The sequence below is a fragment of the Homo sapiens genome, chromosome 1 (assembly GCF_000001405.40).
Source record: "Homo sapiens chromosome 1, GRCh38.p14 Primary Assembly".
In the NCBI taxonomy this organism is placed as follows: Eukaryota; Metazoa; Chordata; class Mammalia; order Primates; family Hominidae; genus Homo; species Homo sapiens.
Genome location: NC_000001.11, coordinates 28,103,504 through 28,130,478, shown reverse-complemented (window position 1 = coordinate 28,130,478; position 26,975 = coordinate 28,103,504). Strand labels below are relative to the sequence as shown.

At 45.9% G+C, this 26,975-nt stretch overlaps 1 pseudogene, besides 2 other annotated features; it reads left to right on the top strand.

Annotated features, from left to right (window-relative positions):
* Positions 9,012 to 9,645, top strand: ARL8BP2 (ARL8B pseudogene 2; annotated as a pseudogene).
* Positions 16,981 to 17,030: an enhancer, noted in NCBI's record as "active region_583". NCBI's record gives its function as "activates an Ori minimal core promoter by ATAC-STARR-seq in GM12878 lymphoblastoid cells {active_cell/tissue: GM12878}" and the evidence as "EXISTENCE:reporter gene assay evidence [ECO:0000049][PMID:35858748]".
* Positions 17,081 to 17,140: an enhancer, noted in NCBI's record as "active region_582". NCBI's record gives its function as "activates an Ori minimal core promoter by ATAC-STARR-seq in GM12878 lymphoblastoid cells {active_cell/tissue: GM12878}" and the evidence as "EXISTENCE:reporter gene assay evidence [ECO:0000049][PMID:35858748]".

Here is a 26,975-nt window from a genome sequence, read left to right as displayed (position 1 = left end):
GTCCCTGCCGTTGTCACATGATTGATACGATGGGGCTTCTATAACTATGTGAATCTGTGTCCCTCAACCCTGCCCGACTGATTGGATTAGGGGTATGGATGGATCTGACTCGCACTGGCCCATCAGAGTCCCTTTCCTGGGAATCTGGAATTCCAGGTTCAGTCTTAAATAGGGGAGATAGGAACTCAGGAGCTGCCTATGACCATTTTCTGCCACAGAGTGCTGATATGCAGCAAGAGAGAAGGATAAAACCCCCATTCCAGGTTATTCCTTAGGCATAACTAGGTAATCACTAGATGACCAGCTAGGCATAGCTAGGTAATCACTGGTGAAATGGTTATGGGCACAGTCTCTGGCGCCAGACTACCTTGGTTCAGATTCTGGCCTTGCCACTTAGTAGCTGTGTGACCCTGGGTGAGTCATTGAACTTCTCTGTGACCTGGTTCTCATCTGTAAAATGGGAGTGACATTATCATCTACTGCATGGGGTTGCCCTAAGGATTAAGTAAAAGGCATAGAATAATACCTGACACACAGTGAGTACTAAGTAAACATTATCTTTTGTGTGTGTGTGTGTGTGTGTGTGTGTGTGTGTGTGAGATGGAGTCTGGCTCTGTCACCTAGGCTGGAGTGCAGTGGCACAATCTTGGCTCACTGCAACCTCTGCCTCTCGGGTTCAAGCGATTCTCCTGCCTCAGCCTCCCGAGTAGCTGGGATTACAGGCATGTGCTACCACGCCTGGCTAATTTTTGCATTTTTAGTAGAGACAGGGTTTTGCCATGTTGGCCAGGCTGGTCTTGAGCTCCTGACCTCAGGTGATCTGCCCGCCTTGGCCTCCCAAAGTTCTGGGATTACAGGTGTGAGCCAACGCGGCCAGCCAGTACTGGGTATTTTCATACTTCCCATTCTTCTTGCCCTCTGTTCCCCAGAATCTGGTCATCTTCATCCACCTTGGCTGGGCTGGGGCTGACTATGGGAGATGGTGCCTCTGGGGTGGAGGCACTGTCTTTCCAAGGTGAGTCTGATCTGTTTGACAAGGTTCTTAGAACCACACACCTTGACACCTCATTCTGCACTCAGGAGAGTGAATCATCCATCTTGAGTGCCTTTCCCCAGGAAGATTTCACCCCTGGATGCACTCTAGGTTTTCTCGTTGCTGGGAACATGACTCAGGGCACAGTGGCCCTTGTGGGTGGAACAGAAGCTTGAGCCCAGTTTTCCTCATTTGTATCCTGCTGTGCAATCCCTTCCCTGGTCCCCTTGTGATCTACACAGGAAGGAAGGAAAGGTGTGCTATGGGCTTAAGGGAACAGAGGGCAAGAGTCTTGGAGATGTGAATGGAGCCTCTTGTTTCATGTGCTAACATCCCAGGGCAGAGAACAAGTCCGTGATGAGGAGTTTTCTTCCCCTGAGTCTGCTTCCTCAGCCTTCCCAGCCCCTTCCTTCGAGGTCTCTCCTGTCAGCCCACCCAGTTTACATCCTGGACCAAGCCCAGCAAGGGCGTGGGTGTGGTTAGGTGGGGTGGGAGATTCCAGGACCATTTTTATTTTTTGTTTTTTTGAGATGGAGTCTCACTCTGTCGCCCAGGCTGGAGTGCAGTGGCGCGATCTCAGCTCACTGCAACCTCCGCCTCCCGGGTTCAAGTGATTCTTCTGCCTCAGCCTCCTGAGTCAGCCTCCTGAGTAGCTGGGATTACAGGCACACACCACCACACCCAGCTAATTTTTTTTGTATTTTTAGTAGAGACGGGGTTTCACCATGTTGGTCAGGCTGGTCTTGAACTCCTGACCTCGTGATCTGCCTGCCTTGGCCTCCCAAAGTGCTGGGATTACAGATGTGGGCCACCGCGCCCGGCCCCAGGACCAGTTTTGCCTCCTGTATCCATTTGCTTCTGGTCTGGTGGACAGGAGGGTGATCCCTAGAAAGGGGCAAGATATTGTCATGGTCTGTGATCTTGCCCCTTTTCTCCTGTGGGGAAAGCCGTTGTGGACACAGAAAAGGCCATGGAGTGGGGAGGGAGAGCATCAGGAAGAATAGCTAATGGAGGGGGGGCTTCATACCTAGGTGATGGCTTGATCTATGCAGCAAACCACCATGGCACATGTTTACCTGTGTAACAAACCTGCACATCCTGCACATGTACCCCAGAACTTAAAGTTGAATTACAAAAAAAAAAAAAAAAAAAGGAAAAGGCCATGGAGTATTGGAGGGTACTTCTGGAAACCCACAAATCACAATGCTGCCGTCTTCTTCTTCTCCCATGCTGCTATGGTCCTTGACTGAGATTCTGCCTCAATTTTTCTATTTAGTTCTCCAGTTGTGACTGAACATAGCCTCAGACTTTGCATATTACCTGCCTCTTAGCTGCCTCGGTTAAAGACCTGCTAAGGCTATACCATGTTCCCACTCCTCCTTGGATCCCAAACCTAGGGCTGTCTGATTTCCCAGAAAGTGCCTCTGGAGATAGGTCAGTGTCCTCTAGGCTCAGCGGTCAAACATCCTCCCCATCTCCACCAGCCCAACATTCCCCATGCCTGAATTGACTTCAGTTACTATATTTTGAGTCTTTCTTAAAGAGACAGCCTGAGGAAGGAGCATGGACTCTAGAATCAGACATGCTGGGCTAGAATTCTGGGACAGTGATCACTTGTTGTCTGACTGAGTTGACCACTTCCCCTTTCTTAGTATCAGTTTCCACACTTGTCAAAGAGTCTATTGATCTCCTATCTTGAAGATGAGAGGCTTTAATGAGACAACCAATCTACAGTAACTAGCACATTGTAGAGGCTTGAGAAGTGGCCATCCATGCCCCTTCTCCATACACTACTGTAGAAGGAAGAAGAATTCTGTATCTTCATTGTTCCTCAATGATTTAAACCCTCCCTTGCCCTACAGCTGTTGAGCCATGGGAAAATTACTTTATTCCTTGTAGTCCCAGTTTCCCCATTCAGAATACAAGGAGTAAAATAGCATATCCCTCCTAGAATTGTTTTGAGGATTAAATGAGATTATTTGTGTTGAGTGTATAACATAGAACCTGCTACAAAGTAAGTGCTCAAAACACGTGACATGCAAGTCATTTCCAGGTTTTTGCTACTTTGTTTCCCCTTTATTATAATTTAGTTATAATAAAGTTCTGGGAAAGGAATTACCACCCGGTGAAATATATTGCCAAAGTTCTTTTTGAAGGGTTGTGACAGTTACACCACCACCAGCAAATTATGTAAATACTAGTTTTGTCATATCCTTGCCAGCACTGACTGTTATAATTATTTTTAGTTTTTACTAATATATAAGGTGCCTCATAGCTGACTTACTTTTTGTCCCTTTAATAGCAAAGGTGGACAGGTTGTGCTGGTCAGCAAAAGTTTATTGGAACTGGGGAGGAATAATTTTCTTTGAAGAGGGAACTTAGGAAGAGAAAAACACACACAAACTTTGTAAATATCTTGAAAATTGAGGATGTTGCTCTTCCTGTCAACTGCTGCTACTTCTCTTTTCTGAGATATACAGTTCTATATATTTTGTTCAGTTCCCTTAGCTTTGACACTTGTAGATCTGGAATGTGGAAGTGCCCCAGAATGATCATGATTTAACGTTTGAGATAAACTTTTGATGAAATTTCAGATCAATTCCTACGTCCTTTGGAAGATACGTTTTATCATGACTTTATAATTCAGAAGAGAAACTTTAATTTCTGTAGAAAATTATAAAAGATGGTGAGACTAAGTTTCTCTCTATATATAAAATGAGAGGATTGGAAGATTGAGATGAAGTCATCTCCTAAGGGACCTACATTTAAAAGCAATCAGCTTCATGGACCTGAAAGGACCTTCAAGGGCTTGACTGGCAAAACATGTCTTGGAAAGAGGATGAATTCACCCAAGACCAAGAGAGGCTGAGGAAAGGAGGTGTGAAACTCGTCTCCGGGGTAGGCAGAATAATGTGGAGGAAGGAGGGGGAAATATTCAATGTCACCTTCCCAGGTTTAAATCCCAGGTCAGCTACTTCTTGGTTGTGGAAACTTGAGCAAAACAATGCCTTGACCACTCTGAGCCTCAGTGTTCCAATCTGCAAATGGGGTAATACCACTTGCCTTGCATGACCTTGAGAAGATTCAATGAGCTATAGTACATAAGGTAGCTATTGCAGTGCCTTCCATGGAAAAGTGCTAAATAAGAATGATTGCTAACATTTATTAATAAGCCAGACACGACTCTAAATGCTTTACATCTATTAACTCTATGAGGTTAGGAATATTAATAATCCCATTTTAAAACCAGAAAGGCCAGGTGCAGTGGCTCACACCTGTAATCCTGGCACTTTGGGAGGCTGAGGAGGGTGGATCATGAGGTCAGGAGTTCAAGACCAGCCTGGCCAAGATGGTGAAAACCCGTCTCTACTAAAAATACAAAAAATTAGCCAGGTGTGGTAGCGGGCGCCTGTAATCCCAGCTACTTGGGAGGCTGAGGCAGAGAATTGCTTGAACCTGGGAGGCGGAGGTTGCAGTGAGCCGAGATCACACGATTGCACTCCAGCCTGGGTGACAGAGCAAGACTCCGTCTCCAAAAAAAAAAAAAAAAAAAAGACTAGAAAACTGGGGCATAGAGAGACTTAAGTCGCTTGCTTCTGGTTACATAGTTAGTAAGTGGCAGGGTGGGGATTCTGAACCCCTATACTATTCTGCCCATACTCTGAGGACAGTTCTAGACAAGAGGGTGTGGCTGGCTTAGGGAGGATTCAGTATGCCATCAACCCTAGGAAGCCCACTGATGGAAAGGAATGGTGGAAAATGATCTGCCAGGAAAAAAAAATGCTGATAATGGGCTCGAGTACAGAACCAGGTGGTACTATACGATTCTCAATGTCTTGCTTGTTCATCCCAGGAATCTGGTTGATGGCAGGGAGTTAAGAATCCAAGAGACGGGAACTGGAGCCAGAGTAGACCAGAAGCCAGAGATTCATTGCCCTCCATCCTCAACTACATGCTGAAATACTAGAGGGACTCTTGTTTCTCACTCTCCAAGGGCTGTGAGTTCAAGCTAATTGTATTTAACTTCACAAGAATTAGTCTTTTTTTCCATCTTAGCAACTCCTTGCTTTTTTCCTTCATTAGATTATCACTTGCATTGCTTCGCGTTTTTCTTCTTTGGCATTTTTACTTGTTACTGTCTGTCTTTCTTACTAAAATATAAACTCCATGGAGGCGGGGAACATATCTGTCTCTGTCATTGTTGTATCCCTAGCTTCTGACAGATGCTAGGTGTTTAAGAAATATTAGGCCGGGAGCAGTGGTTCATGCCTGTAATTCCAGCACTTTGGGAGGCCGAGGTGGATGGATCACCTGAAGTCAGGAATTTGAGACCAGCCTGGCCAACATGGTGAAACCCTGTCTCTACTAAAAATACAAAAATTAGCTGGGCGTGGTGGCGGGCACTTGTAATCCCAGCTACTCGGGAGGCTGAGGCAGGAGAATCACTTGAACCTGGGAGGCAGAGGTTGCAGTGAGCCGAGATCGTGCCATTGCACTCCAGCCTAGGCGACAAGAGCGAAACTCCGTCTCAAAAAAAAAAAAAAAAAATACATACATACATACATACATATTAATGGAGGCCAGGTGTAGTGACTCATGCCTGTAATCCCAGCACTTTGCTGTAATCCCAGCACTTTGCTGTAATCCCAGTGCTTTGGGAGGCCGAGGTGGGTGGATCCCTTGAGGTCAGGATTATAGGCCTGAGCCACCACACCCGCCGAGTATTGGCTATATATTTTAGCACCTCTTTTTTTTTTTTTTTTTTTTTTTTTTGTGATGGAGTTTTCTTCTTATAGCCCAGGCTGGAGTGCAATGGCAGGATCTTGGCTCACTGGGTTCAAGAGATTCTCCTGCTTCAGCCTCCTGAGTAGCTGGGATTACAGGCGTGCACCACCACACCTGGCTAATTTTTGTATTTTTAGAAGAGACGAGGTTTTGCCATGTTGGCCATGCTGGTCTCGAACTCCTGACCTCAGGTGATCCACCCACCTCAGCCCCCCAAAGCACTGGGATTACAGGCATGAGCCACCGTGCCCAGCTGGCACCTCTTACTATGATCTCTACCTCTTATCTAATGTTGTAGGTACAACTGGAGGTGACATATGATTTAAGCATTTTTCCCACATCATAAAATAAATCTTGGACTGCTGGCCGGGCGCGGTGGCTCACGCCTGTAATCCCAGCACTTTGGGAGGCCGAGACGGGCGGATCACGAGGTCAGGAGATCGAGACCATCCTGGCTAACATGGTGAAACCCCGTCTCTACTAAAAATACAAAAAATTAGCCAGGCATGGTGGCGGGCGCCTGTAGTCCCAGCTACTCGGGAGGCTGAGGCAGAAGAACCGCTTGAACCCGGGAGGCGGAGGTTGCAGGGAGCCGAGATCACGCCACTGCACTCCAGCGTGGGGGACAGAGCGAGACTCCATCTCAAAAAAAAAAAAACAAACAAAATCTTGGACTGCTTCCTTTGAAAATTCTCCTGAAGAAATGTTACCCACAGGAGGTTTGTTAATTCCTGTGTGTATTACTCACAACAGAAAACACTTTGCTTAACACAGGGAGCATGAAACCAGGTCATGTCATGGGGAGTGGTGAATTAGATCAGTCTGGAGAGCCAAGGTGCCTAGTCAGGATGGTTTGGTTGCAAATAGCAGAATCCTTCCCATACGCTAGCCTAAGCAGAATGGACATTTAGAGGGAGGAAAAAGGGGGAAATTTGGATGAACACGGGGGCAGGAAGTAGACAGGTCTGATGAGGAACTAAAACCAGGAAATGGAACCTTCCAAATAAATCCAGACTCCTGCTCCTCCTCACCACCCCCTCCACTGCTGCTCCTGTTGTAGCCATCATTCTCTCTCGCCTGGACTATTGCAACATTCTCTCCACTTCTCCCCTTACCTCCTACACAATCCATTCTTAGCACAGCGGCTAGAGTGATCTTTTAATAATGTAATAAGATTGTGTTGTTGAGCCAGGCACAGTGACTTGTGCCTGTTACCCCAGCTGCTCCAGAGGCTGAGGCGAGAGGATTGCTTGCGCCAAGGAGTTCCAGGTTGCAGTGAGTTGTTTTTGTTTTTGTTTTTGTTTTTTTGAGACAGAGTCTCACTCTGTCGCCCAGGCTGGAGTGCAGTGGTGTGATCTCGGCTTACTGCAAGCTCTGCCTCCCGGATTCACGCCAGTCTCCTGCCTCAGCCTCTTGAGTAGCTGGGACTACAGGTGCCTGCCACCATGCCCGGCTAATTTTTTGTATTTTTAGTAGAGACAGGGTTTCACCGTGTTAGCCAGGATGGTCTGGATCTCCTGACCTTATGATCTGCCCGCCTCAGCCTCCCAAAGTGCTGGGATTAGAGGCGTGAGCCACCGCACCTGGCTGCAGTGAGCTTTGATCATGGGACTACACTCCAGCCCAGAGTGAGACCCTGTCTTGAAAAAATCATAGATTGTAAGCCTGGGCAACACAGTGAGACCCCATCTCCATAAAAAAGAAAAAATTGGTGGGCCACAGTGGCACATGCCTCTGGTCCCAGCTACTTGGGAGGCTGAGGTGGAAGGATCACTTGAGCCCAGGAGAATGAGGTTGCAGTGAGCCTTGATCACACCACAGCACTCTAGCTTGGGTGGAAGAGCCAGAACCTGTCTCCAAAAAATAAAAATAAATAAATAAAAAATATCGTGTTGTTTCTCTGTACAAAGCCTTTTGGTAGTTTCCATGGTGGGGCGTGGTGGATCACGCCTGTAATCTCAGCACTTTGGGAGGCCGAGGCGGGCAGGTCACTTGAGGCCAGGAGTTCGAGACCAGCCTGACCAACATGGAGAAACCCCATCTCTACTAAAAATGCAAAAATTAGCCAGGTGTGATGGTACATGCTTGTAATCCCAGCTATTCGGGAGGCTGAGATGGGAGGATCACTTGAGCCCAAGATGTGAAGACTGCAGTGAGCTGTGATTGTGCTACTGCATTCCAGCCTGGGTGACAGAGTGAGACCTTGTCTCAAAACAAAATGAAACAAAACAAAAAAACCTTTCAGTAGTTTCCAGTTTCCTATTATGCCTAAAATAACATCCAAATTCCTTACCAAGCCCCATGGTTATTTGGCTCTTGCCCAATCACTACTGTCCCTGACTCTTACTCCAGCCATGAGGCTTTCTTTTTGTTGCTTGAATGAATACACAGTCATCCCTCGATATCCACCAGGGATTGATTCTAGCGCCTCCATGATTCCAAAATATGTGGATGCTGAAATATCTTATGTAAAATAGTGCAATATTTGCATATAACCGACACACATCCTTCTGTATACAGGCATACTTTGTTTTATTGTGTTTTACTTTATTGCGCTTTGTAGAGTTTGTTTGTTTAACATAGGGTCTCCCTCTGTCACCCAGGCAGGAGTGCAGTGGTGCAAACACAGCTCACTGCAGCCTTCACCTCCTGGGCTCAAGTGATTCTCCCAGCTCAGCCTCCCCATTAGGTGGGACTACAGGCGCATGCCACTACGCCTGGCTAATTTTTTTTATTTTTTGTAGAGACAAGAGTCTCGCTTTGTTGCCTAGACTTTTCTTGAACTCCTGGCCTGAAGCAATCCTCCTGCCTCAGCCTCCCAAAGTGCTGGGATTACAGGCATGAGCCATCGTGCTCAGCCTGTAGATTTTTTTTTTTTTTAACAAATCGAGGCCGGGATCGGTGGCTCACGCCTGTAATCCCAGCACTTTGGGAGGCCGAGACGGGTGGAGCACGAGGTCAGGAGATTGAAACCATCCTGGCTAACACGGTGAAACCCCGTCTCTACTAAAACTACAAAAAATTAGCCGGGCGTGGTGGCGGGCGCCTGTAGTCCCAGTTACTTGGGAGGCTGAGGCAGGAGAATGGCGGGAACCCGGGAGGCGGAGCTGGCAGTGAGCCGAGATTGCGCCACTGCACTCCAGCCTGGGCGACTGAGCGCGACTCCGTCTCAAAAAAACCAAAAAAAACCCTAGGCAGCTGCCGCCCCCTGGGGTCCGCCCGTGTTGCTCTGGGACCCGAAGGAGCCGTTGGGGGGTCTGGGCGGAGGCCTGCTCGTGTGGAAGTCGTGGTCGCCTCCACTCTCCGTCCTCCCGTCCGTCCTCGCTGCCGGCCGCCATCATGCTGGCACTCATCTCCCGCCTGCTGGACTGGTTCCGTTCGCTCTTCTGGAAGGAGGAGATGGAGCTGATGCTCGTGGGGCTGCAGTACTCGGGCAAGACCACCTTTGTCAATGTCATCGCGTCAGGTCAATTCAGTGAAGATATGATACCCACAGTGGGCTTCAACATGAGGGAAGTAACAAGGTAACGTCACAATAAAGATCTAGGACATAGGAGGACAAGCCCGATTTCGAAGCATGTGGGAGCGGTATTGCAGAGAAGTCAATGCTATTGTTTACATGACAGATGCTGCAGATCGTGAAAAGATAGAAGCTTCCCGAAATGAGCTACATAATCTTCTAAGAAACCACAGTTGCGAGGAATTCCAGGGCTAAGTGCTTGGAAACAAGGGAGATCTTCCTAATGCCTTGGATGAGAAACAGCTAATTGAAAAAATGAGCCTGTGTGCTATTGAGGATAGAGAAGTTTGCCGCTATTCAATTTCTTTTGTTGTTGTTGTTGTTTGTTTGTTTTGAGACGGAGTCTCGCTCTGTCACCAAGCTGGAGTGCAACGGCACGATCTCTGCTCACTGCAACCTCCGCTTCCCGGGTTCAAGCGATTGTCTTGCCTCAGCCTCCCGAGTAGTTGGGACTAGGGGCACCCGCCACCACGCCCAGCTAATTTTTGTATTTTTAGTAGAGACGGGGTTTCACCATGTTGGCCAGGATGGTCTTGATCTCTTGACCTCGTGATCCACCCGCCTCGGCCTCCCAAACTGCTGGGATTACAGGTGTGAGCCACTGCGCCCAGCCTCAATTTCTTGCAAAGAAAAGGATAATATAGATATCACACTTCAGTGGCTTATTCAGCATTCAAAATCTGGAAGAAGCTGAAGCATCTCCTGAAGTCTTCAAGTCCTTCTTGACTATAATCCTAGAATTACTGTCCGTTCCTCTGAAGTAATTCCCAGAATACGGTCCTGCCTAAACCTAAGAAATTGCCTTTTTCAGAGTTTATTTCTCATGTGCACTGCTGAAGATGAGTATCCGTAATCCTTCATAAAGAATCAGCTAGAGTTGTCATGATAAAGTCAGCACACACAAAAAGGCTTCTTACACATACCTGTCTTAAGCCATGTGTAGAGCTTTAAAAAAAAACAAAAAACCCACACACTTTTGACCATCTTAAATCAAGAAAATTGCATATTTCTGTTCTGGTCTTTCTGGGCCAGATTTTTATATTGGTTTTCAGTAAATATCTATCTATAATATTTCATTATAGAGTCCAGTAGCTTAATACTGACACTGACTTGATACAGCATGAAGTTTCTAGTGCCACACACAGTATTTAGAAAACCTTTAAGCCTGCTAATAAAAAAATTAGCGGCTAATTTTTTTTTTTTTTGTAGAGACGGCGGTGGCGTGGGGGGTCGGCGGGGAGCGGTGTGTTTCACTTTGTTGTCCAGGCTGGTCTTGAACTCCTGAGCTTAAGCCATCCACCCACCTTGGCCTCCCGGAGTGCTGGGATGCTGGAATTACAGGCATGAGCCACCGCACCCAGCCTTGACTTTCAAGTCTTATTACCTAAGAAATACATTTCATAAGGCTATAGCTGCCATAGATACTGATTCCTCTGATGGATTTGTTTTTTGGGGTTTTTGTTTTGTTTTGAGTCAGAGTCTTGCTCTGTTGCCCAGGCTGGAATGCAGTGTTACAATCTCAGCTCACTGCAACCTCCACCTCCTGGGTTCAAGCAATTCTCTTGCCTCAGCCTCAGAAGTAGCTGGGATTACAGGCGTGTGGCACCATGCCTGGCTAATTTTTGTATTTTTAGTAGAGATGGGGGTTCCCTGTATTGGCCAGGCTGGTCTTGAACTCCTGACCTCAGGTGATCTGCCGGTCTCAGCCTCCCACAGTGCTGGGATTACAGGCATGAGCCACCGCACCTGGCCTGATCTGGGAAAAAAGGAAATTTGAAAACTTCTGGAAAGGATTCACCATTCTAGATGCCATTAAGAACATTTGTCATTCATGGGAGGAGGTCAAAATATCAACGTAAACAGTGGTTTTGGAAGAAGTTGAATTCAACCCTCATGGATGATTTTTGTTGTTAATTTTATGTGTCAATTGATGGATAATTTTGAGGGATTCAAGACTTCAATGGAGGAAGTAACTGCAGATGTGGTACAAATAGCAAGAGAACTAGAACTAGAAGTAGAGCCTGAGATGCAACTGAATTGCTGAAATCCATGGTAAAACTTGAACAGTTGAGGAATTGTTTCTTATGGATGAGCAAAGAAAGTGGTTTCTTCCTCTGCCTCCCACGTTCAAGATTCTGCCACCACAGCGTCCTGAGGAGCTGGGACTACAGATGTGCACCGCCACACCAAGCTAATTTCTTTGTATTTTCAGTACAGATGGGATTTCACCATGTTAGCCAGGCTGGTCTTGAACTCCTGACCTCAAGTGATCTGCCCCCCTCAGCCTCCCCAAATGCTAAGATTACAGGCATGAGTCACAACACCTGGCCAGAAAGTGGTTTCTTAAGATAGAATCTACTCCTGGTGAAGATACTGTGAACACTGTTGAAATGACAATGAAGAATTTAAAATATTACATACACTTAGTTGATAAATCACCAACAAGGTTCGAGAAGATTGACTCCAATTTTTTTTTTTTTTTTTTTTGAGACAGAATCTCACTCTGTCACCCTGACTGGAGTGCAATGGCATGAACACGGCTCACTGCAGCCTTGACCTCCCAGGCTCAAGTGATCCTCCTGCCCCAGCCTCCCCCATAGCTGCAACCACCAGGCACAAGCCACTACACACAGCTAATGTAAAAAAATTTTTTTTTGTAGAGACAGGGTCTCACCACGTTTCCTATGCTGGTCTTCAGCTCCTGGGCTCGAGTGATCCTCCTGCCTCAACCTCCCAAAGTGCTAGGATTATATATATACCACATTTTTTTTCTTTTCTTTCTTTTTTCTTTTTCTTTTCTTTTTTTTTTTTTTTGAGACAGAGTTTCCCTCTTGTTGCCCAGGCTGGAGTGCAATGGCGCAATCTTGGCTCACCGCAACCTCTGCCTCCCAGGTTCAAGCAATTCTCCTGCCTCAGCCTTCCGAGTAGCTGGGATTACAGGCATGCACCATCACGCCTGGCTAATTTTGTATTTTTAGTACAGACAGGGTTTCTCCATGTTGGTCAGGCTGGTCTCGAACCCCCGACCTCAGGTGATCCACCCGCCTCAGCCTCCCAAAGTGATGGGATTACAGGCGTGAGCCATTGCGCCCGGCCTATATACCACATTTTCTTTATCTACTCATCGATTGATGGGCATTTAGGCTAGTTCCATATTTTCGCAATTGCAAATTGTGCTGCTATAAACATGCGTGTGCAAGTATCTTTTTCATATAATGACTTTCTTTCCTCTGGGTAGATACCCAGTAGTGGGATCAGAAAGTCTTCTCTGATTTCTGTTCCCAGGCTGGGATAAGTGCCCCCTCCACAGTGCCTCCCGGACATCTCTCACTATTACAAGAATAAAGCTGCTCTCTGTCTCAGCCCCACTGTCTTTGATTAGTCCTTCCAGTGCTAACAGCATGGACTTTGGAATTAAAAAACACATTGTTTAAGCCCAGCTTCTGCCACTTCCAAGTAGCTCTGGGCTCTTGGGTCCACACATACTAAGCCCTCCAAAAACTCCAGTTCCTTGCGCTCTTTCCTCCTGGTTTCTTGGAAGGTACCCTTAAGTCTCAGCTTGCACTGGAACCCTGGCATCATCCTCACGTCCTACATGGCTCATGTCCTCATGTTCTACAGCCTTCTAGGGTGTGGCAGGCACATTTTCATTGCTTGACCTGTCTTCCTATGGGAAATTGTTCCTCCTCTCCCCAGTCCAGCTCAGTCCCTGTGGTTTGGGTCTTGGCAGAAGACCCAGGACTGGCCAATCCAAAGTCTGTATTCTTTTGGCCCCGGTGATTGGTCCAGGGATAGGCCTGTGAGTTAATAAGATCCTTCATATTTATTATATGGACATTAGAGGAAAGACGGTCTCTCTCTCTTTTCCTTCCCGCTCACCATCTTTTTTTCTTTCTGTCTCATTATAAGATGCGCAGCAGTGGGCCGGGTGCGGTGGCTCACGCCTGTAATCCCAGCACTTTGGAAAGCCGAAGTGGGTGGATCGCTTGAGCCCTGGAGTTCGAGACCAGCCTGGGCAACATGGTGAAACCCTGTCTCTACTAAAAACACAAAAACTAGCCGAGCATGGTGGCGGGCACCTGTAATCCCAGCTACTCATGAGGCTGAGGCACAAGAATTGCTTGAACCCAGGAGGCGGACGTTGCAGTGAGCCGAGATCATGCCAGTGCACTCCAGCCTGGGCAAAAGAGCAAGACTCCGTCTCAAAAAAAAAAAAAAAAAAAAAAAGATACACAGCAGTGATGGCTTGGCACTACCAGCAGCCATCTTGCTACCTGTTTGAGAATGAAGCCAAACAAAATCAAATAAACCCCGAAAGATGGAAAGAGAGTTCTGATGCTCTCCTTGATCCAGACATGTCTGAAGTCCCTTTGAACTACTTTTTTTCAGCTAGTCTGGGTTAGATTTCTGACATTTGCAACCAAAAGAATCCTGACCAATACATGGGTTCACTTTAATATGTAAACAGGCCTAGCATAGTGGCTCCCGCCTGTAATCCTAGCTACTCAAAGGGCCAACATGGGAGGATCACTTAAGGCCAGGAGTTTGAGACCAGCTTGGGCAACATAGCGAGACCCATATCTCTTAAAAAAAAGCAGACAGGGTGGCTAGATCTAAGGCAGCCTGAAGATGAGCCAGCAAGTTGAGGATAGCAGAGTGGCAAGAGCACAGAACTTGGGCCCTTGGGCCGGGCACAGTGGCTCACATCTGTAATCCCAGCAGTTTAGGAGGCTGAGGCAGGCAGATCACCTGAGATCAGGAGCTCAAAACCAGCCTGGCCAACATGGTGAAACCCCATCTCTACTAAAAATACAAAAATTAGCTGGCCATGGTGGTGTGGACCTGTAATCTCAGCTACTCGGGAGGCTGAGGCAGGAGAATCACTTGAACCTGGGAGATGGAGGTTGCAGTGAGACGAGATCAAGCCACTGCACTCCATCCTGGGTGACAGAGCGAGAGTCTGTCTCAAAAAAAAAAGAACTTGGGTCCTTGATGACACCAGCCAGCTGCTGAATTAATTAACTCTGGATCCCATCTAATTTAGGACTTCTTAAGTGAATATTTCCTTACTAAGTAATTTTGATTTTTTTTTAAAAATTAAATATGGAATGCTTTATGAATGTTTGTGTCATCCTTGCGCAGGTGGAGGTTGCAGTGAGCCAAGATCGAGCCACTGCACTCCAGTATGAGCAACAGAGTGAGACCCTGTCCCCTACTAAAAAAAAAAGCAGTTTTGAGATTTAATTCAGGTATCTTTTAAAGTGTACACTTCAGTGGCTTTTTTTGTTGTTGTTGTTTTGTTTTTTTGAGACAGGGTCTCACTCTGTTGACCAGGCTGGAGTGCAGTGGTGCAATCATGGCTCACTGAAGCCTCGACCTCCTGGGCTCCAGAGATTCTCCCGCTTCAGCCTCCTGAGTAGCCAGGACTACAGATGTGCACCACTATGCCCAGTTAATTTTTCTTTTTTTTTTTTCAGTAGAGATGAAGTCTCATTATGTTGCCCAGGCTTGTCTTGAACTCCTGGGCTCCAGTGAGCCTCCTGCCTCAGCCTACCAAAGTGCTAGGATTACAGGTGTGAGCCACCATACCCTTACTGATTTTTAGTGTATTCATTGACAAAGTTGTGCAACAATCACCACTAATTTCACCACCTCAAAAAGAAACCCCATACCCACTAGCAGTCACTTCCTGTTCCCCCCCACCACCGCATGCAACCATTAATCTTAACAAGGGATCTTCGGGGAAAGCGTCCAGTCTTTCACAAGGAAGTATGATGTTAGCTGGGGGTTTTTGTAGATATCCTTTATCTGGTTGAGAAAGTCCCCTTCTCTCCCTAGTTTGTTGAATGCTTTTAAACTGTTAGATTTTGTCGAATGTTTTTAGGCATCTATTGGAGGGGTGGGTTTTGTTCTTTATTCAATTAATATGGTGTATTACATTAATTGCTGTGTAAATATTAACATAATGGTTCAACACACTCCTTGAAATAATGATATTCATTTGTAAGCTCAGGTGAGCCACATTATAAGAGCATCTGATAGCTGACAATCCAGCTTACACAACTGTAGGCTTGTTTAATTAGGTTAACAGATTTTTTTTTTCTCTACCAAGTTTTTCTTTTCTCTTTTTTTTTTTTTCTGAGACAAAGTCTTGCTCTGTCGCCCAGGCTAGAGTGCAGTGGCACCATCTTGACTCACTGCAACGTCTGCCTCCCAGGTTCAAGCAATTCTCCTGCTTTGGCCTCCTAACTAGCTGGGATAACAGGCATGTGCCACCACACCCAGCTAATTTTTGTATTTTTATTTAGTAGAGATGGGGTTTCACCATGCTGGCCAGGCTGGTCTTGAACACCTGACCTCAGGTGATCCGCCTGCCTCGGCCTACCAAAGTGCCGGGATTACAACCGTGAGCCATTGTGCCTGACCACTACCAAGTTTTTCTGAAGAAGAAAATTCATTGTTAGTGAAGGGGTTCAGGACATGCCACCCCAAAATATGCCACTCTGGCATATTATTTTGAGCTGAAGCCACTTGAGAAACAGCCGGTGCAGGAAGAACCCTCTGAATTCCATCTTTTTACCTAAATACAGTTCATAAAATTTCCCATGAGAAAGATGCCCTCTCTGTACCAGGAAGAGAAGCACATTCCCATCACCGGAGACTGAGGGTTGATGGCGCAGTGGGCCTGTACAAATGAACCTACTAAAATAACCCCATGTATTTCCTAGTCATTGTCCCACAACTAACTGCCTTTAGCTCAAGCCTCTTTGTCTTGTCACATCCCCACAATTTGTCATTCTTTTTTTTTTTTTTTAGACAGAGTCTCTGTTGCCCAGGCTGGAGTGCAGTGGCACAGTCTTGGCTCACTGCAACCTCTGCCTCCCAGGTTCAAGCAATTTTCCTGCCTCAGCCTCCCGAGGAGCTGAGACTACAGGCACCCGCCACCAAGCCCAGCTAATTTTTGTATTTTTAGTAGAGACGGGATTTCCTCATGTTGGCCAGGCTGGTCTTGAACTCTTGACCTCAGGTGATCCACCAGCTTTGGCCTCCCAAAGTGCTGGGATTACAGGTGTGAGCCACCAAGCCTGGCCTGTCATTCTTTTGTTGTTGTTGTTCTCTTTATAGCCGGCTCAGACTCCAGTTCACATCACCCACCGATTTATTATTCTTTATGTAAAAAGGTATATAAGCATTTGGGCTTAATTAATTCTTTGGGTTTTCACTTTCCTTCTGACGACTCCTGTGTATAGATAAAATATTTAAAAACTTTGTATGCTTTTCTCATGTTATTCTGTCTTATGTCTGTTTAATATTAATACTTAGGCCAGGCTGGGCGTGGTGGCTCACACCTGTAATCCCAGCACTTTGGGAGGCCAAGGCAGGTGGATCACTTGGGGTTAGGAGTTTGAGAACAGCCTGGCCAACATGGTGAAATCCCGTCTCTACTAAAAATACAAAAATTAGCCAGGCATGGTGGTGCGCACCTGTAATTCCAGCTACTCGGCAGGCTGAGGCAGGAGAATCACTTGAACCCGGGAGGCGGAGGTTGTGGTGAGCCGAGATCGTGCCTTTGCACTCCAGCCTGGGCGACAGAGTGAGACTGTGTCTCAAAAAAAAGAAAGAAAAAAAAAAAAAACTTAGGCCAGCCATAGAACCTAAGAGGGTAGATGGAAGTTTCTTCTCCCCTGTAGGAGCATATACAGTATGATGCAAAAATGAGATGCTTAGGCTTTTCAGGAACTATCTCTGTTGATTTCTCTGCAGCTGAAAAAAGCTACAACATGCACGGTAAAATGTTGTCTTGAGCTGTGGCCTAACTGGTCAAAATGGGTCTCAGCGCAAGGTCTACTGACTCCTCAGGGCTTTCATAGCCACCAAAGCTGCTGTGGAATTGATCACTGGTCTCTAGGGGGCAGGAGTGTCTTCTCTTGACAGGAAACGAAATGAGGTTAGAATAGAGATAATGGTCTGTAGAAGTCCACCTTCTCCCTCTCCCTACCACCCCACCCGCCTCCAGTTCTCTATTCTGGAACTTCTGCCCTGAGAGGAGAAGCTGCTGCTGAAGATCTTGCTCCAGATGGAGAGAGTTGTGCATTTAGCTTGCCCAACTACCATTTTGAGGACATCGTCTAGTTTTGTGTCCAGTGTTCCTTCCTTGGAGGAACTTCCCCCATCCCCACACCAAGTGATACTCACATGGCTGCCAATCACAGAACGCCACCTCTCTGACCACAAGAGTGACTCAATCCTGGGTCAACTGGACTTTCTCAGGACTTTGGAACTGTGGAGACACTCAGGGATGGAAGGAAGTGGGAGCTGAGTCATTTGATGTGTTTCCCCTAAAGCAGTGCTTCTCATAAGGGGGTCCCTTGACCTGCAGCAACAGCATCTGGGAACCTGTTAGAAATACAGATTCCCGGGCCCCAACCCACACCTACTGGATTAGAAACTCTAGGGGTAGGCCCCAGCAATCTGTGTTTTAAAAACCCCTCCAGGTGATTCTGCTGCATACTAGGGAAACCACAAGTTTCTGTAAGTGGGATTCCCAGAGCTTACCTGCACCTTATCCTTTTCTTGGCCTTGGCTGTTGAGATCTTCCTTAGATTCTTTGGTCTTCCCAATGTCTTTCTAGTAAATTCTTTGTTTTGTTTGAGCAACTCAGAGTTGCTTTCTGTTGCTTGCAACCTAAGGACCCTGACTAATGGTCCTCCCATCTAATTCATATCTACACAGACCCTTCTTGAACCATGGGCCTTCCTGCCGTATGTAGACTGCAATGGTTTGACTTCACCCTGGTCTTTGTATTTTGCTTCAACGCCAAACCATATTAACTCCAAAGCAGAGCTCAGTGGGCATCTGATTAGGCTCTTTCACTGTCCTGCCTGTTTATTCAGTTGCCTCCCCAGTAATGCAAGTCTTTATAAGAACATCTCTTATTCCTCCATTTAGTTGACATCTCTGTTTTTTTCGTCTTAGCTCCCAATCTTCTTCTTCTTCTTTTTTTTTTTTAACTATTAACAACACACCAATGGCATAATGAAGTTTGTTTTTTTCTTTCCTATATGAGTTAAGGAACAGAATAAGCTGCTTTAGTAAAGAGGCTCAAAAATACAGAATAAATTTATTTATTTACTTATTTATTACTGAGACAGGATCTCATTCTGTCTTCCATGCTGGAGTACCATGGTATGATCATAGCTCACTGTAACCTCAAACTCCTGGGTGTAAGGAATCCTCCTGCCTCAGCCTCCTGAGTAGCTAGGATTACAGGTGCTCACCACCATGCCTGGATCATGTCTCAGAGCAGCCTCAACCTCCTGGGCTCAAGTGATTCTCCCACCTCAGCCTCCCGAGTAGCTGGGATTATTGGCATGGGCCACCATGCCCAGTTACTTTAGGGTCTCATTATCTTGCCCAGGCTGGTCTTGAACATTTGGGCTCATGTGATCCTCCTGCCTCCACTTCCCAAAGTATTGGGATTACAGGCATGAGCCACCATGCCCCAGCTAGAGCAAATTTATTTTGAATCTCTTGTTTTACAGGTTTTGTTTGTTGTTCTTATTTTGTCTTTTGTTGTTGTTTTATCCCTTTAAGCATATGGGTGATTCAGGATGAGTCCAGAGGTGAGTAAGGGGCTCTGCTTCAGGTAGTCATTTGGGGATACAGGTTCCCTCTATCTTGTTGCTCTGCCGTCTCCAAGGACATCATTGAAGCATCTATATACAAGCCTGTGGTAAGTGGGGGAAAGAGGAAGTAAATGGCTAACAATTTCACTTTAGGAAATGATGTAGAAGTGATGATCACATGAATCTATACATTTTCCAGTGGTGAGTACTTAGTTACATGGTCACACCCAGCTAGCTACCATGGCAGCGGTGACCATGAACTATGATCTGGATCTGGGCAGCCATATACCCTGCTATATCTTGGGGTGAAAATTATTTTATTACTAGAAGAAAGGGGGAAGTAATGGATAATGGAGACAGTTAGCAATCTTTTCACACTTTCTAACTCTGAGCCTTGTATCCAAGTGTTGAAAGTTCAAATGCCTTCACAGGGGCTAGGCAGGTGATTAACTGAGTAAAGCAATCTAAAAGGAGTGAGGTGACTGTGACAAAGTAGGATGCACTGTGTCCTGTCTAAAGGGGGTAACAGTTACTTGATCCCTTCCCCTTCTTCATTAACAGAATTCCAAGCTTGTTTGAGTGCCCAGCCTTGGAGCACAAATCATAATTTTCTATTATCAATCATGAAATTCTGTTTCTAGTGTCTTCAGCCTCCCCTGTGTCTGGGAATCTCCATATGACTCAGCCAATGGGAGAGTTAAGGAAGTCTGGCGGGGGACTTCTAGGAAAGCTTTTGTTTTCCTAGTAAAGAGTCAGCCATGACTGGAGCTTTCCCATACCAGTTCTTCCTGATTTGAATGTGGGTGAGATGCCTGGAGCTGGGGCAGCCATCATATGACCTGGGGTGGCAAGCAAGAGGGGAAAACCAAAAGAACTGTGGTGATACTGAGCTAGAAAGAACTAGGGCCAGAACCTGCCTGACTCCAGACATCTTGTCATGTGAATAACACAAAAAACCAAAACACCTATTTGTTTAATGAAACTTAAAATTGGCTTATCTGAACTTCATGGCCGTTCAAAACTGATCTAATCCTTCCAGATTTATTTTTCAAGTTTCAATTATTTATTAATCAGGGTAATCTCCAACACATTACATCAACATGATTTCATGTATTTAGAGGACAAATATTTCCTGATTAAATGGAAAATTGTGCGGATGGCTTCAGAAAGACCTTCATTCGAAAGCAGCTTTAATAGTGAAACACTTCATTTACAAATCTGGACCTTCTTTCTTCAGTTTGCTATAATCCACATTCACTGAGTAAAACTTGGATGGATTGTTGGGACCCAGTTTGTTACAGGGCTCTGGGTTATTCTTTCTTTCCTTTTTATTTATTTTTTTTTTTGAGACTGAGTCTCGCTTCGTCGCCCAGGCGGGAGCACAGTGTCACGATCTAAGCTCACTGCAACCTCTGCCTCCAAAGTTCAATCAGTTCTCTTGCCTCAGCCTCCCGAGTAGCTGGGATTACAGGCACATGCCACCACATCCAGCTAATTTGTTGTATTTTTAGTAGAGACAGCGTTTCACCATGTTGGCCAGGCTGGTCTTGAACTCCTGGCCTCAAGTGATCTGCTCACCTTGGCCTCTCAAAAAGCTGGGATTATAGACATGAGCCACCACACCAGGCCTCTGGGTAATTCTTTCTGTCCTAACATCCGGATTGAACAATGCCAGACTTAAGACATACAATGCTTTTCTAATACCTCTAAATCCAATAAATACAAAGAAGGGATCAAGCTCAGATGCTTCTTGGCCTGACTGAGGATCTGCTGGAGCTTGTCTGCAGCAGAGGTCTCCCATTCGAAAGGAGAGAACCAGCCTAGCTATCAGGCCCTGGACTAAGTAGTATCTGCCCCAGATATTTTAACATGTATATTCACTTTGTATAAAGATGAAATGCATACGCTGCTTTGTAACTTAAAAAAGAAGTACTGGCCAGGTGTGGTGGCTCACGCCTGTAATCCCAGCAGCTTGGGAGGCCGAGGCAGGCAGATCACAATGTCAGGAGTTCAAGACTAGCCTGGCCAAGAGACCAGCCTGGCCAATATGGTGAAACCCCATCTCTACTAAAAATATAAAAATTAGCCGGGCGTGGTGGTGTGCACCTATAATTCCAGCTACTCGGGAGGCTGAGGCAGGAGAATTGCTTTAACCTGGGAGGCGGAGATTGCAGTGAGCTGAGATCACACCATTGCACTCCAGCCTGGGCGACAGAGCAAGACAAGGCATTTTTCATTTTGATGACTGCAGAATATCCACTGTATGTGTATAGCTTAGCAGCTAATCAATCCTTTATCATTGGACATTCAGTTAGTTTACAGTTTAGCTGTTTTTATTTTTGTTTTTGAGAGGGCAGTTTGCTATTGTAAACAATGCTGTAACGGACTACCTTTTAACTAAGCCTCTTCTTTTTTTTTTTTTGAGACACAGTCTCACTCTTGCCCAAGCTGGAGTGCAGGCTCGGCTCACTGCAACCTCCTTCTCCTGGGTTCAAGCTATTCTCGTGCCTCAGCCTCCCATGTAGCTGGGATTATAGGGATGTGCCATCATGCCCATCTAATTTTTTTTGCATTTTTAGTAGAGATGGGGTTTTGCCATGTTGACCAGGCTGGTCTCGAACTCCTGACCTCAAGTGATCCACCTGTTTCGGCCTCCCAAAGTGCTGGGATTACAGTGAGCCACCGCTCCCAGCCTTAACTAAGTTTCTTAATATACTCTTATAATTACATTCTTGATTATTTTCTTAACTTTCCAGAAGTGAAATGGCTGGGTCAGAAGACAATAAATAGCAATCTCTTTTAAGTAAAATGATGCACTTGCTTTTGGTTCTGTTTCTGCTACTTTGAGTAAGTAATCACTCATTTATTCATCATCCATTCACTTAACAAGCACAAGAAGCACAGAGTAAAATGTGGTCCTCGTCTTCAAGGAGCTCATAATGGAATGGCAGAGGCAGGCAGGGCAACAGTTAATGAGAAGGAGTGACAGTTGTGGTGGCGGCTTTCGACAAGGTTTCCAGTGATCCCTGCTTCCTGATATTCATGCCCTTGTGTAATTCCCTACCCATGAATATGGGCTGGACCTAGTGAATTGCTTCTGATGAATGGAATATGACAAAAGTGATAGGATGTCACTTCTGTGATTAGGTTACAAAGAACTGTGACTTCCATCTTGGTAGCTCTCTCTCTCTTTTCCTTGCCCTCTCATTTGCTTGGTCTGATGAAGCCAGCTGCCACACTTACTTGATGGAGAGGCCTATGTAGCAGGGAACCCAGGGAGGCCTCCCGCTAGCAGCTCTTGAGGAACTGAGGCCTCAGTCCAACAGCCTGTGAGGAACTGAATTCTGCCAACAATCATGTGAGCTAGGAAGCAGATCTTTTCCATTGAGCCTTCGCTGACCAAGGACTTAGCCAAGCCATGCCTGGATGCCTGATCCATTAAAACTGAGAGAATGAATTGATATAGTCTTAAGCCCCTACATTTTGGAGAATTTGTTACATGGCAGTAGATGACTAATACACAAGCAGAGTGGTACAAATGAGTGTGTGATAGGTGCAGGCATGAAGGAGAAGCATGAAACCGCCATGGTGGGGAAGGGCCACGTCTGATAGGAGTTCTGAGTGGAGGGCAGGCTTGCATTGCATTTTGCAAGCTAAGAAGGAATTAGGGGAAGAGAAGAAGTTTCCAGAACAATCAAGCTCTGAGACCATTTCCCTAACCTGTGTTACCAGATCACTTGTTGCACCCTTGGCTAGAGGTAAATTCACTGTGAAGTTAGCAGAGTTTAAGCCCCAGGGCCCCTCACCTGCACAAACTCCTTTTAAAGCCCAAGAAGGGTCCTAGTAATGTTGTATTTATAATTCTGCATTCTTTTTCTTAAGGAGAGCCACCTAATTTAGGCCCCTGCATCAATGGACTTGCCAAGACCCTTTTAACGCCCTTCCTCTCGCCCCTTTCAATCTATAGCATATACTTACCAGTCCTATTTGGCTCTGCCTCCTCAAATACTGTTTCTCAGCAGCTCATCCTAGCCCTTCAGCCTTTACTTCCTTAACCTAAACAATCCAGGTTCTGGAGTTTTCCCTACAGGCCCTGTTCTCTACCTCTTTAATCATCTTTACTGCTGTTTTTGTTTTATTTTATTTATTTATTTTATTGAGATGGAGTTTTGCTCTTGTTGCCCAGGCTGGAGTGCAATGGCGCAATCTCAGCTCACTGCAACATCCGCCTCCCAGGTTCAAGCAATTCTCCTGCTTCAGTCTTCCCGAATAGGTGGGATTACAGGCATGCACCACCACGCCAGGCTAATTTTGTAGTTTTAGTAGAGATAGGGTTTCTCCATGTTGGTCAGGATGGTCTCTAACTTCTGACCTCAGGTGATCCGCCCACCTTGGCCTCCCAAAGTGCTAGGATTACAGGCGTGAGCCACCATGCCCTGCCTTTTACTGCTGTTTTTGAAGACTCAAAAAAGTTTTTCCTTAAGTGGTAGTTTCCAGAACGGATGTGTTTTTGTAAATGGCAAGCCTGGTTCCTGACCAAATGGCATTCGAGCAGGGAGGGCCACGTGGGGCCCTCAGAACAGCCTCTCTGCCCATTGTTTCCCTACCTCCCACCCCCAACTTCAGAATGACAAAGTTTCATCTGATGAAAGGAGGGAGTGGCTGGGGAGAAAGTAGAAGGGGCAACAGGAGAGGGGGCAACAGGAGAGAGGGTACCCTTCCACTTCCTTAGAGATGGGACCTCTCTTTTAAGATGCTTTTGGCAGTATTTCAAGCTGCTGATGGGCCCAAGAGGGAAGGAAACTGACATCATTCATACCTACACTGTGCCAGGCACATGGGCTTTCCAGACACTATATCATGGAATCCTTGCTACATCCCTGAAAGAGAGAGACTCCTCATTTTATTTTATTTTATTTATTTATTTTTGAGACAGAGTCTCGGTCTGTTGCCCAGGCTGGAGTGCACTGGCATGATCTCGGCTCACTGCAATCTCTGCCTCCCGGGTTCAATTGATTCTCTTGCCTCAGCCTCCCGAATAGCTGGGATTACAGGCATGAGCCACCATGCCTGGCTAATTTTTTTTTTATTATTTTTTGTAGAGATGGAAGGCTTCACCATGTTGGTCAGGCTGGTCTCGAACTCCTGACCTCAAGTGATGTGCCTGCCTTGGCCTCCCAAAGTGTTGGGATTACAGGCGTGAGCCACCGCACCTGACCAAAACTCCCCATTTTGTAGCTGAGGAAACTGAAGCACAGCCAGCAAGGGCCAGGTCAGGCCCAGCTAACTTAAGAGTCCAGCCTCTAACCCCAGCCCATGTACCCCCATCCTTTATTGATTCTCCCAGGGGCTACTACCTACATTCAAGTCCTAAATGAAAATTGGTGAGCATCACAACAAAAATCCACTTGGAAATAAGTTTAATAAATGAAAAAGTCAGGCAGGCCAAACTCCTGATTCTGGGAGATCTGTATAACAGAAGAAGACTCATCAGTGACCTGGGAGTCCTCCCAGAGTTGGGATTCACTTCTAGAGAGAAAAAAAATATGTATTGACAAGAAGAGGCAGGAGATCTAGGCCCCAAACCAGAAGATGGGGATGAAAGTTAGGCTGGACAGACTATAGGATGGGGATAACAATGAACAATGAAAGTAATGAGAATAGCAACTATTGTTTACTGAGTGCTTACGAGGTGCCAGGCACTGTAATACACACACACACACACACACACACACACACACACACACACACGTTATATAGGTTAGTGCATTTTATCCTCACAGCAACCCCAACTAAATCTTATACACAGAAGCAGTGGTGAAGCAGACCAAAGTCTGTGCTTCTGTGTGTAAGAGTCTTCATCTTCAGGCTCCTCAACCTAAAAATACAAATGATAACCATGCCTTTTTAGTAGGGTTGTTGTGTAACCCTACTAAATGTAACCACTAGGCTTTACTAAGTCTCGGAGAATGGGAGTGGGAGAAATCTAGCCCTGGTAAATGACACAAACAGAGAGAAGCAGGGCTTACAAAGTGCCATAACTTGGGAGGGTGGGGTATAGGGGTGGCTAGGGCTCATCCAGACCCAGATCTTGCAGGCAGCAGAGGTGACTCATGGGAACCTCGGAAGCTAGCAGTTGAGTGCTTTGTACCAAGTTTGCAAACAAAGCTCTTGGGTTCAGAGAGGGTGGAGAGATGCAGAGTCTATCAATATCCATTGGCCTCTCTCCGGATTGGCTCAGGAATCTGAGTGGGAGGAGCTTAGGTCTCAGGGATGATGACGTGAGGCTGGACTAGGAAGCTGCAGCTCGCTGGGCTCCTTCACCTTCAAGGTGCTCCTACCCCAGCGCTGGAGTCACACACTTGTGTTTGGATCCCGCCCTTCCCACCTCTGGGACTTCGACTTAATGATTTAACAACCTTGAGCCCCAGTTTTCTGTAAAGTGGAGAGAATCAGAATATATATAGCCAAATGATAGATAATAATTGTGCCCTTGGGAGAAGTCAGTGAGGCGCTGCATATGAAGGACTAACACAGTGCCTCGGATGCTGCATGCTAGTAAATAGCAGCCAGATTATTGCCAGATTCCTATTCAGGGGAGCCGGAGAAGCTTTTTCTACTTTCCGCTTCCTTCTCCTCCCATTGCCTTCTTTGGTAGGGAAGTGGAATTGTATTCCAGAGGCAGAGTACATGTAATGCCTCTCTCACCTTTCATTCTTTTCACCTCTGAATGATTTTTATTAGTTTTGTAGCTCACAGCCCATTTCACAAAGTTGTAATTTGCCTCTTGCCTGGAGAATATTAAACTGTTACATAAAAGCAATAGTTTTTTTATGCTAGGAATTTTCACTATGCCGATTTTCTATGTCTTTTATAGATAAGACATTGGATCAGCCATGGTTCATTGATTGAAAACATCAGTGACCAATTCTGGTCTTAATAACAACAACAACAAAAATATTTTATTGGAAAGATATGGGATAGCTTACCGAAGGAAAGCTGAACGTCAAGCCTCAGAAAAAGCATACAGGGTAGCTCCAGGGATCTAGGTAGCAGGAAGTTTTGTTTGTTTGTTTGTTTTGTTTTGAAACAGGGTCTCACTCTGTCGCCCAGGCTGGAAGTGCAGTGGTGCAATCACGACTCACTGCAGCCTCAACCTCCTAGGTTCAGGTGGTCCTCCTGCCTCAGCCTCCTGAGTAGCTGGGACCACAGGTGCCACCATGTCTAGCTAATTTTTTTCTTTTGTATTATTTGTAGAGACAGGGTTTCGCTATGTTGCCCAGGCTGGTCTCGAACTCCTAGGCTCAAGCAATCCTCCAGCCTTGGCCTCCAAAAATACTGGGATTAGAGGGGTGAGCCACCATACCCTGCCTCATAATATCTTCTAATTGCTAGTTCATTTTCAAATTTCCTCAATTGATAAAAGAATTTTTTTTTTTTGAGACAGAGTCTCGCTCTGTCGCCCAGGCTAGAGTGCAGTGGCGCAATCTTGGCTCACTGCAACCTCTGCCTCCTGGGTTTAAGCGATTCTCCTGCCTCAGCTGCCTGAGTAGCTGGGATTACAGGCATGCGCCACCACGCCTGGCTAATTTTTGTATTTTTAGTAGAGATAGGGTTTCACCATGTTGGTCAGGCTGGTCTCGAACTCCTGACCTCGTTATCCACCCGCCTCAGCATCCCAAAGTGCTGGGATTACAGGCGTGAACCATCATACCCGGCCTAAGAATGTATTTTGTAGACTTTTTCCCAAATCAAGATTGTATCAAAGTTCACTCATTGCAATTTGTTATTGGGTCTCTTTACTCTCTTTTAGTCTAAATCCCCTCCATTTGTGGATTTTTCATGATATTGACATTTTGAAGAGTTTAGGCTAGCTGTCATGTAAAAAATTTTTACATTTTTTTGGTATAGTATTTTTTATTGTGGTAAAATATGCATAAGATTACAGTTTTAACTATTTTAAAGTGTACAAATCAATGGCATTAAGTACATTTACAATGTTGTACAACCA